The 12,127-nt window shown below is 45.8% G+C and overlaps 1 protein-coding gene across 33 annotated transcripts in view; it reads left to right on the top strand.

The window, feature by feature from the left end:
- Positions 1 to 12,127, top strand: part of MYT1L (myelin transcription factor 1 like) — a 542,163-nt gene that overhangs the window by 410,330 nt on the left and 119,706 nt on the right. For all 33 annotated transcript variants that reach the window (NM_015025.4, NM_001303052.2, XM_011510326.2 and 30 more), the window contains 3 exons: positions 3,607 to 3,741; positions 8,836 to 8,926; positions 10,599 to 10,706. In NM_015025.4, the coding sequence (NP_055840.2) occupies positions 3,607 to 3,741; positions 8,836 to 8,926; positions 10,599 to 10,706 (334 nt within the window). The remainder of the gene's footprint in view (positions 1 to 3,606; positions 3,742 to 8,835; positions 8,927 to 10,598; positions 10,707 to 12,127) is intronic.

Genomic DNA, 12,127 nt, shown 5'->3' with positions numbered 1-12,127 from the left:
GCAGGTGCCTGGGCACAGACAGCGTTTCAGTCGCAAGGTGAAGCTTTGCCCGTTGCAGTGTTGTTATGTAGCGAAGGGATTGTTTTTTAGAGGAAAGAGAATCAGTAGACTCTCTAGCTCAGTAGAGCTTCAGGCCTGATTTGGGCATTTTAAAGACTACGGAACATAGCATGCATGTTTAAAATTATAGTGCCATCATCGTTAACAAGATGGGCTAAAATTATCTATTAGAAATTTTTAGTTGAATTTTTGAGAATCATACAGGAATGAAACATTTTTATTTTGGGGAAGAAATAGTGTCTTCTTTTCATGTGATTGCTCAGTTGGACAAATATATTTTAGGCTTATGTTTTAGACTCCCAGATCCTAGATCTGAGGATGGAGTTTGGGCATGAAGTAATGTAGCGTGTGCTGTGTCAAGGGAAGGCTGATTGAGCTTAGGCTTATGTTTTAGACTCCCGGATCCTAAATCTGAGGATGGAGTTTGGGCGTGAAGTAATGGAGGGTGTGCTGTGTCAAGAGAAGGCAGATTGAGCTTTTTGCAAATTCTGTGTTGCGGTGGCTTCTTTGGTTTCTTGGTCCCTTTAAGTTCAGCGGCTTTATGCAAATTTTGACTCGTTTTGTTTTTTGTTTTGTTGTTTTGTTTTGTTTGCAAGAAAATGGAATTCAAGGTGCTTGCTTCCCCTGTATAAATGGGGGTTGGGTGGGAATGAACAGTAAGAACTGAGATGTGCTTTTTCCCTCTTGGGAGGAAAGGTTGCAGATTTGGACTTTCCTGTAAGCAGAAGGCCTTGACTCCAGTCTCACCCAGCTGTTCCAGGTCTTCCTGCTCTGACCAAAGCTCATTTCCGTATCTGTCAGTGTCTTCCACATTATTCCAAATGTCCTTCGAGATGTCTGTAGTTATATTCAGAACCAAATACATGCAGCCAAGCAAGGCCAACAAAGTGGAGCAAAGAAACTCCCTTAAAAAAATAGTGCGGGTGGATCACGAGGTCAGGAGATCGAGACCATCCTGGCTAACACTGTCTCTACTAAAAATACAAAAAGTCAGCCGGGCGTGGTGGTGGGCGCCTGTAGTCCCAGCTACTCGGGAGGCTGAGGCAGGAGAATGGCGTGAACCTGGGAGGCGGAGCTTGCAGTGAGCCGAGATTGTGCCACTGAACTCCAGCCTGGGGGACAGAGCGAGACTCCGTCTCAAAAAATAAAATAATATTAAATTAAATTAAATTAAAACTAAAATTGTGGTACTATCTCACCAACACAGCCAACAGAGAATTCCTGCAACCACTAGCATGTCAACAGGCTCTATTTTCAGACACTCTGTTATTTTATTAAAAATGGAGAGAACACTTGTATTCTCATTTCTACACAATCTTCTCAAACTGATTTAAATTATCAACGAGTAACATTTCCAAAATCTTGAGCTAATGCAAAAGGCCTGGATCATGGACCTCCTCTGTCATCTACCCAATTGCCTGCTCTAACAGAGGGAAGGGAGCAAGCTAAACAGCGCACTTTTTTTTTCTGTAAGTTGTTGCAAAAGGTGTTTGGTTAAATTGTTGGTCCCTTTGCTTGCTTGGTTATTTTGTGTTTGCTTGTATGTTTGCTTTTGAGATTGCAAGAGAAAAGAAACCAAGGGGAGGTAACGGTGAAGGCAAATAGCATGACCCCACCTCAACCAGGACCTCATGCATCGAGAGGAGACTATACCCTTGTCGTCTTCCAAAACCCAAAATGCTTTGGAGCCACATTGTTTTCATGCAAATCCCTACTTAATTTCACAACACTTTCGATATCTGTGAAGTCATATATTTTGTTAGGTAATCCTAAGTGTCGTGGTAAAATAGGGTCACTTAAGGACGAATAATAGATACACCTTACACTTTTTTGCACCAGCCACTAGCCATTTACATCTAGTTCAAAATCTCTTATCTCAAGTTTATGATTGTCAGTATTTCTTTTGAAACTGTTACTGTGCACTTACTACTTTATATTTGTAGTGATTTATATCTACAGTAATTTATACCAACATTATTATGAAATTACTGAAAAGGCAATAAAGTGCTAGGCATTTTTGTTTGCAGGTGTAAGAGAAGTTTCAGTAATGTAATTAGAAATTGAAGCCACAACCACATAATTTTAGATTTGTTCTCAAAGATTCTTCTTGACATAATGGTAGGAAAGTAACGGATGATTGTACAAATGGTATTTCCCTCAACACCAGTGCTGGCTTAAGAGTTTCCAGTACAGGAGAGGCACATTATGCAGAATAAGATGCTAGCTAAAAAAGAAAAGGGGAGTGTTTTTATATGAACATGATGGCATTTGTCTATTCCTGCTAGTCCTTTGTCTATTTGAAGTTCACCTGAACGAATGAAAAGTCCGTAAAAGTTCAAAAAATTCTAAATCCAGCTTTTATTGATATAAAGTGAATTCTTAACTGAAAGTAAAACATGTATTTTCTAGCAATCATGATTGGCCTGATTAATGGAATATCAAAAAGAACTAATCCCTAAAGAAAATTTAACTATTGCATTTCTGGACTAAATAATAATAATCGCTATCTGTTGGTGATCTGAGCAACTGGTTTTCAAAAACTGGCTAAAAATACAGTGTTTTGCACACTTAGATTTACTGTTTGGTCTGAGCTTTACTTTAGAAATATTATCTGAAGTTATTATATTGCATATTTATGAACTGTAGTCAATTCTGGGTATAGAAATAATTTTATTAGCAATATCATTACATTTCTGGCCTCTAGTATTGAATTTTTTTTTAACCGAAGCTCTGCCCTAATTTGCCCTTGACTGGTACTTGCAGAGAAGCCGACAGGGCTGTAGAAACCCATTACTTCTTAATTTTGTGTATGCATGCACGGCATTCTACGAGCCTTCCTCTGGTTCCAAGTACAGATGAAGAAATCAAAACAAAAGGCTGCTCCCGTGGCTTCTGAAACATGTTGATTACCCGTCACCTCTGTCAGGTGGGCTTTCCACCTTTTTGGTCATTTGCTTACAGTGCCTTCTGAGAGTTCAGTTTATTTTCAGAAAAGCGCTGAATTGGTGTGCTACGAAACAATGTCACTTGACCTCCGGAGAGCAAATTTCAATGTCAGTAAAATCCTGCAGCTTCTAGTGTATGCGATCAGAGCACTCAATAAGAAAGAAATTCAGCTAAAGAGTTTTTGAATGGAATGACACTCTCTGGTTGAATTTCATGGAAAATTGCTGAATGATGATGGCACAGAATTTCGTTCTCTAAGAAGGTCACTGTCTCATCACGATTTACGTTGATTCCTTTGAGCAACACAGCTTATCATGTAACACACGGGAAAATAATGAATCAGAGTTAAGGTGAGGGGTAGGCTTTTCTTTTCTTTAGAATAAAAATTAAAATACTTTATGATTCATGATTATACTGTGTAAGGTTGAAAAAAGTCACCCAAAACCAAAGAACTATCTAAGCAAAAGTCTGATGTCACAGCCTAGCCCCCGACACCTGCTTTATTTCTTTCTTTAGCAAGGTTTCTTCAGATTGTGAAATAATCACATTTGTCTTTGATTGGTAAACATTTATTCTCTTGGCACCTGTTGTCGCTTTTAGATCCCTCAAGAACAGAAAAGAAAGAGAGCAAGTGTCCAACCCCCGGGTGTGATGGAACCGGCCACGTAACTGGGCTGTACCCACATCACCGCAGCCTGTCCGGATGCCCGCACAAAGATAGGGTCCCTCCAGAAAGTAAGTCCACGTCTCACCGCTACCCTTGGGGGTGCAAACACCCATGACTCTGTCTCTGTCATCCCTCTTACCTGACATCATCTCCATTGTACGGCTCGGTGCGACCTGATTTAACTAGGCCCCTACTTAACTTGATGGGCAACTGATCCAGGATTCGTGGGCATGCCAATGGCACAGCCCCAGGAGAGTGGTGCACCATGAAGCCCACCGCCCCTAACAAAGCTCCTGCACAGGCCTGGGTTCTAGTCCTGAGTTCAGCTCTGACCTGCTCTGTGACCTTGGGCAGGTTGCTTCCAGGCATCTTTTCTCGTAATTACAGAATTGAATTCGATGGCCTCTAAGACGTCCCTTCCAGCATGAAACTGCCAGGAATCCCAGAGGAGAGAGGCCTTGAGACAGACATTTCTTGCCCAAATATCTGGATTTCTGTACATCATCCAAATGCATATTTAGATCTGAAGTTTTATTGCATTTCACCTGTAAAGTCTGTCTCATGTCATAGTTGTCTCGACATTTCAACACTATAGGTTCTTCAATAAGGAAGGAGGTTGAAATCAGATGGGTTTTGATCTTAAGCATTCTTTTTAATTAATTAGGTTCTGATCATGTGGAATAAGTCCATGAATATAGCTAAATTTTTTTAGAATTGAAATGATATACATCTTTTTTTGTTTATCCTTTCAGCACATAAAGTATGCCAATAAATTAAATACCGCAGCTAGAATTGATGGTTCAGGGAAAAGACACATTCTCAGAAATGAGTATATGAGTTTAAGGTTCTGGTTTTGAGTCTACGGCATGGGAAGAGTTTCCCTTACTGTCTAAGACACAGTTTCTAGTGGGGAACATGTCATAACATGGCTTGAGAGATGACAAGATGACCAGTTAACTACTTTAAGGCCCTTTTGAGGACTGTCCCATTAAAATGGGTAACTTTGAGATACTTGAGAGCAAAACCTGTCAGCACAAAGAAACGTTCTCAGGAGCATTTGGGACTTAGGAAGTTTTTGCTGAACATTTTCTAGTGAAAGATCTTTAGATGCAATTATGGCTCCAGGTTTTCAAATGGCTCCTCAAAATAGCAAACTTGTGTGTTTTGTAACCATCTTGTGAACAAGCCTGAAGAGCCATAAAAATAAACAAATCAGAGCGAGTGGCTCCAATCCCGTGTGTTACATGAGCAGGAAGACAGCATGGTTTGACAACAGCTTCCATGTACCCAGCACACACTTGGTGCTGGGACGCAGCTCACACCCAGCAAACACAAGTTCACTGAACCCGCAATCGACACTGCAGGGCAACACCCCCCCTTTCATTCGGATGAGGAAGATGAGAGTCAGAGACTCTGCCACCCTTTCTTTCCAGAGGTTAGCCAATGCCTGGCAAATTGAGGATATGCCATATCTTCTTAAACAAATCTGAGCAGGTACTAACTTACTCAAGTAAGCTCCGGGCTAAGATGTAAATCCGTATCCGACTGACCTCTGAGCCTGTCTGTCTCCTCTGAAACCTGGGTTTGGTGTTCCAGTTTCTGTCTGAACACACGATGTGACACCCAGCACCTTGCAGCTCTCTGTACTTCATCTTCCTCATCTGCAAAGTGAGGCAGGAGGACCAAGCTCTAGTGTTTTAAGAAGAAAGAGTTTCTTTATGTGTTTTATAAGACCTACATTTTCACCTTCAAGGTAGATTATCAGCTCCTTTTTATGGATGGGAAATTCTTCTGACTCCCTGTTTTCACAGGACAGGCCTAAATGAAGTGGGACTGTGGAGTGGGACTGGCAAGGTGCCCTTCGCGCCGGCTGCAGGTGCCTCCCAGGGCCAGATCGCTCTCGGAGGCAAGGAGAGTCAGCTCTGACATGGGCGGCACAGGTGCATGCCAGACAATACAGAGGAGGCTTCTCAGCCTTTGCTCCTGTGCGATTCTTTATAACACCACAAGCATTTACTAAAACAATTAGAGAATTCCATCCATAGAAGGCTTTTAATTTTTTTTTTCTGGGCTAGTTTCCCCTAATCATCATTTCTGTCCAACTAAATTCCATAAAGAAACCAGCAGCACACTGTGTCAGGACCACTGAGGACACGCCATTGCCCGAGACACTGTACTGGCCCTCAGAGAGCTCCCAGCCCGGCTGAGAGAAGGACATGGGCATGAGGCCGGGGCTCTGCACGAGGCCGGGGCTCTGCACGGTGGGGACTCCACAGCATGGTCTAGGCGGGATGGAGAACTGCTCCCAGGGCCCCCAAGGCCGCCGTGAGGTGATGCTCCAGCTGTCCTGTGTGAGAGGCGAGGAACCCACAGCATTTTCTAAAGGCTGTTGTAAAAGTCCACACAAGAGATCAGGGCATGGAAAAGACAGTGGTTGTGGGAATGGAAAAGCTGGGGCAGATTCACGAAACATCCAGAGATAGGCGGGCAGGCTGTGGAGGGCAGCACACGTGAGGAGTAAGAGAAGAGGGGAGACCAAGAGGATGCCAGGGATTATAGCCTCGGTGAACTTAAGGACGCCAGGGCCGATAATCTGTACAGAAAGCTGAGCAGCAGGGCCACATTTGGTGGAGAACCGGGACTTGTATTCTTCCCACTTGAGTTGGAGGAGCTGCATGATATTCTGCAGGGTTTGGGAAGGTGGCTCTGGAGGCCTGGGGAGGTCAGGTGCAGAGGTGGCTACCTGGATACCGTCCTTGGAGTAGCATTCGTGGAAACTGATGGTGGAATTGCTTAGGGAGGAGGCATAAAGCAGGAATGAAGGAGGGTCCATACATGGGAAGTTTGGCCATGAATGTATGGTAAGATGACGCACAGAAACAGGAGCAGGTGGAGGAAAATCAGAGAAACAGAAAACCAGGAGAGGAAGGTGTTTCTGATAAAGCCCCGTGTGTCTGAGAGGAAGAACTGCAGGGGTCACAGGGTTTTTTTGTTTTTGTTTTCGTTTTTGTTTTTTTTTTAGACAGAGTCTCGCTCTGTCGCCCAGGCTGGAGTGCAATGGCGTAATCTCGGCTCACTGCAACCTCCGCCCCGTGGGATCAAGTGATGCTCCTGCTTCAGCCTCCTGAGTAGCTGGGATTACAGGTGCATGCCACCACGGCTGGCTAATTTTTGTATTTTTAGTAGAGACGGGGTTTCACCATATTGGTGAGGCTGGTCTCGAACTCCTGACCTTGTGATCCGCCCGCCTCAGCCTCCCAAAGTGCTGGAATTACAGGTGTGAGCCACCACGCCCGGAAGGGTTTCTTGAGTAAAAGCCTCTTGTTGACGCCGAGAGACAGATGTGAGAAGAGGAGAGAGGGATAGGAGCTGCACATGCTGCAGAAGTTTGAGAAATGTGATTGAGATGGATGAAGTAGCAGCAGAGTGTAGACCAAGGATAGCAAGCACACTCCACCTCAGGAGGATTCAGGGGCGAGGCTGGGAGTGTGCATTCCCACACAGCAGGAGAGAGGCGTAAAGTGCACTTGCCATCTGGACCTCAGGTCAGAGTGACCCCCGTGTGCCATCCCCAGGGAAGACTGCATGTGAAAAGTTTACCATAAAAGGAAAGGAAAGGTGCAGGTACATGTCAGAGGGGAGCAGTGTGAAGAGAAGCATTCGTGTGCTGTTGTCACACGGTGGTGGACAAATGATAAAGAAGAAAGAATGAACGAAGTAGGTAGATCGACATCCTGCAGGAAGGAGGACCACGCACATGCTTCCTGGAGAGGCCTCCCTGTAGGGAGGAGCAGCACTTCTTCCTCTGGGACAGGGAGGAAGGGGGCAGGGAACTGTGCTTGGATCCTCTCAGAAAGGAACCCTCCTGTGACCCCCTCCAGCCAGGTGCCAGCACAAGATGAACCAAAGGTGGACTCACTTTGATCATTCATTTTTCTGACAGCACTTACTAGGACCTACCACATCCAGGACAAGCCAGGAACTGTGGGAGCGATAAAGCTAATACCAAAGCAAACTCTGCTGAAGGGACTGCCCAGCAGTAAGAAGACAGGGTGTGGACTCAGATAACAGCAACACCATGTGGATGTGGGATTCAGTGCCCAGCAGACTGCAGGGGAAAGAGAGAGGTTGTTCTAGAGAAGGAGGAAAAGTGTCAAAAATACAATTACATAACTAGAGTAGGCAGATCTGTTTTGAATAGACCTTCCATGTTCACCTGGCCTCAGGTAAACCTTGCTGTCAGGGAAAGCCACCACCCCATTCCCCTGGAGTTTGGAGACAGCGGGCTCAGAGGAGCAGAGCATGATGCAGACAGGGTCCGTGTGGGGGTCCCTTCGTCCCTGCTAACCTTCCCCCAGAACCCAGAGTAGTAGAGCGTTCATGAAGGACCAGAAAAGAAGGAAGACACAAATAATTCAGGTCCAACACCACTGCTGGGAAAATTCAAGCAGCTCTCCCCTGCCGACCAGCCAGTAGCATCCTTGCACCACAAAAGGTGTCCATGCAAGAGGCCTCTCCCGCTTGTTAATTTCACAGGGTAAAAACGCAGACGCTTACTCTTCTAGCTCATCCTATTTAAAGAATAATAAAGCACTTGATTCCTAAAGGAAGAGTGATTATTTAATTCATTTTATTTAAAATTAAGGTTTGTGGTTCTGTATTCATCTACCCACCACACGTTCATAATGCTGTGTGTTTCCAAAGCACAGGCATGTTTTTAAAATCCCCAGCCTCTGTGTTGTTCTATGGCTAATCAATACTCCATGCTTGTGCATGGGTAATATCTGTGAGGCCCTCGCTCCCCTAGCCCATCAGGAAAGAGTCAGTTCTGTGTTCTCTGAACTCCCCAGCTCCTGGCTCCAGCGCCTCTGCTGTGTGAGGCCCTTAGCATAGAGTCCCGTCAACCTTCTTTCTCTGGCCTTTCATGTAGGGTCTGTAGGGTCCAGTCAACCTTCTTTCTCTGGCCTTTCGTGTAGGGTCCGTAGGGTCCAGTCAACCTTCTTTCTCCTCCCATGTGTGTTTTCCTGGCCATGCCCATCACAAACGTTTGTAGGACTGTCTATCATGAGCGACCTGGCCTTTGTTAAATGACTGCATTTTCATGTGCCCTAACCGTGCCTCTGTTTTAACACTGGCTGTTCTCTTTGCCTCTCCCTGTCAAGTCCTTGCCATGCATGAAAGTGTCCTCAAGTGCCCCACTCCGGGCTGCACGGGGCGCGGGCATGTCAACAGCAACAGGAACTCCCACCGAAGGTAAGCCACGCGTGGGTCACTGGTGTGGGAGGGAGCACCGGCTGCTCTCCATGCCTTCTCCTTCCTGGGGGGCCTACCACGCTCCATATGGTGCTCCCCACCGTGCTCCCCAAGTGCGGGCACCTCCATATAATGCACGGGAGTGAAAGCACTCCACGCCCTTGTGGTGCAAACTGGATGGTTTTAGTTGCCCCACCCACCTTATCATAGCAGGGTATAGTATCAGGAGTGGAAACCATGACCATTTACAATGGCTGGAAGGAAGGAGACCAAGCCTTCGCTGTCCTCCGAGGTGAAGACAGGGCTGTCCTAGTGTTCATTGGACAGGACGTGGCCTGGAATGCAGCACGCCTGTACAGTGTGTAGCTTGGCTTGGCTGCCCTTGGAATTCTATGGAAACCCCAGGTCACAAGTATGGACGTCTTCAGAAAACCTGCAGATGTTTAGCAGGTTGGGGGGTGGTCTGTGGGAGGCTGGGGTGCCAGGGAAATAGATTCTGGACTCCTGCTAACCAATGGACTCAGAACCACTCTTTTGTTTGTGAAAGATCTGAGTTCTCTTTTCCTGTCCTGTGCAGACTTGATAAGAACTACTCAGCTGCCCATAATATTGCGTTCTTATCTGATAACTTTTTTTTTCCCAGAGGCCAAAAAGTGATTCTTTTAAAGTTTGTCTTACAGTCTATGGTTTTATGAGTTCACGTAAAATTGTATCTAAAAGAAGGAAACTGTTACAAGCTTCACTCTAATTTTTGCTTGTCTGACTGGCAAACCTGGTCCTTTGTGTTACATTTATAATGAAACAAATGACCACTGTGCCCTCCAGAGACATTCAGGTGTTTAATCTGCAGAAGCAGGAAATGATCGATAGGTTGGAGAGGTGCGTGCTGTGTGCTGTTCGATGCAGCATCCGCAGCGTCAGGGCCTCCGTCAAACCTCAGCACAGGCGTATTTTTGGGATATGACACATATATGGGGTGAGCGTCTGTGCATATGAGCAGATACGTATGTAGACACCCACAGAGCAGACACGGTGATTTCACATAAAGTGAGCTTGCACACAAAAGAGCCCAGCTGCTGTCTCCTCCGTCTAGACTAAGCCTGAACTATTTGGCTCCACAAAACATTTTATTGCAGTCCTAGAAATCATTCTGCTTTCCTCTCCACTTTCATTTCCCTGCTTGTGGAGAACACCAAAGGGCTAAAGTCAGACAGGCCCCCCAGACGCCACAGTCAATAGCATTTAGGAAATCAGCTTGGAGCTCCATCTTCTGGTAACAGTCAATTCATTGCCATTCTGGGGCTTCAAAACTCATCCTACCCAAGCTGTTAATTCTTCATCTCCAGAAATGGAATCTGTCTACAGTTTTCACCAGCTATGTCCTCCCGAATGCATGGGAGCTGGGATGCTCTCATTGGGAAGGATTGAATACACCTCACACATAGCACTGCCGCCAGCATTCTCTGCTGGAGACCAGCAGAAAGCATGCACCTGGAAACATGACTACCTCCCCCTCTCCCAGTCCACCCATCAGGACTGCCTGTGCCAGGTTTGGGAAACTACCCCTCCCTCACCAGCTCCACCTGCATCAGGGTCTTGGTGCTAAGGGAGGATTAGTGTGCTGTGAAGGTGTTTGAGGCGGGACCATTCAACCCGCTTTCTGTGATTGCAGCCTCTCCGGATGCCCGATCGCTGCAGCAGAGAAACTGGCCAAGGCACAGGAAAAGCACCAGAGCTGCGACGTGTCCAAGTCCAGCCAGGCCTCGGACCGCGTGCTCAGGTACCCAGCAGGAGTGCACCATCCGTGAGCTCTATCCATAGTCTGCCCCACACCTCGGAGCGCTGGGGACACCCGCTCAGGGCATGTCCCTACAGCAGCAGGGGCAGGGACTGGAGGGCGGGGCTGTGCTGGAAGCCGGGGCCAGGACCCCTCACTCCAGGCCAGGCTGTGTGAGGGCAAGGGTGTCATTCTTCCCCTGGTGTCTGCGGATTCGCTGTGACAATTTACATGAGAGAATTGGAGGAAATCATTTCTGGTTTTGTTTCTGGACCTGGTATTTCATGAGTCTGAGTGCTAGATGAAAGGGAAGCTTTGAAAATTACTGAGATGTCCAAGGTAATTTTGTCATATTTTGCAGGATAGGGCCTCACACCAACTAAGGCTGGTGCTGATGTTTCTGACGATGCCAGGGGTATGAGCACCCTGTGCACACGTGTGGAAGCTCTCGCGTGCAAAACCGGCAGAGCTCCCTCCTGTTACGCCCAATGCCCTGAGGTGTAGGTGGGAGTAGGTGTTGTCACCTCCGTTTGGCAAGTGAGAAAATCCAGAGTGCGGAGGTTAAATGACTGACCCGAATGTTACAGTGGGTCAATCAGTGTTACAATGTCGCAGATCATCCGGCTGAAACCACTGTTTTATTGAAGTTTTGGGAGGATAAGCTCCCCATTCACTCAGCCCTTCTATACAGCTTTCATTCTTACGTGTTGTTTGAAATCCTCATCTACATGAAAACTATGACAATTGTCACATATCCTGCCTTTTCACACAACATCACAGCAGAAACACGCGTCCTTGTCTCTATGTAATCATCTTAATTGTCATCTTCACAGCTACGTATATTCTACTGTTCAGATGTACCCCTCAGTGCCAAAACTAGGTTCTAGCTTTGAGGCATTCAGGCTGTTTCCTGCTTTTACTATTAAAGAGAGGGCAATAATACACATTTCTTTCATATATACAGCACTTTGCTTCTGTTATTTCTTTGGCTACTCAGAAGGCTGAGGTGGGAGGATTGATTTGAGCCCAGGAGGTCAAGGCTGCTGTGAGCTGTGTGATTGCACCACCATACTCTAGCCTAGATGACAGAGCAAGAACCTGTCTCAAAAAAATAAAAAAGTAAATTATTTATTTAGGATAAATCTCTTGGAGCAAATCACTGGGCAAACAATATGAATATCCTTTTTGTTCTTGAGTATTATTTCATAACATCCCAAGAAGCTTCTAACGTAGTAATTAAACTCCCTTCCTCCCTGAATAGAAAAGTTAAAATCTTTACAGAAAATTATAAATATTTATTTAAGCAAAAATAAGAAAACAAAGCCATCTATGACCCTACTATCAAGAGATAACTCCTCAATAAATTGTGGCACAGCTACATCTAGAGTTTTCTGCATTTGGGGTCCTGGCCTGAAGTGCCCCCA

This window comes from Homo sapiens, chromosome 2 (assembly GCF_000001405.40).
Source record: "Homo sapiens chromosome 2, GRCh38.p14 Primary Assembly".
In the NCBI taxonomy this organism is placed as follows: Eukaryota; Metazoa; Chordata; class Mammalia; order Primates; family Hominidae; genus Homo; species Homo sapiens.
The sequence above is the reverse complement of the archived record's forward strand: the minus strand, read 5'-3'. Positions and strand labels throughout refer to the sequence as shown.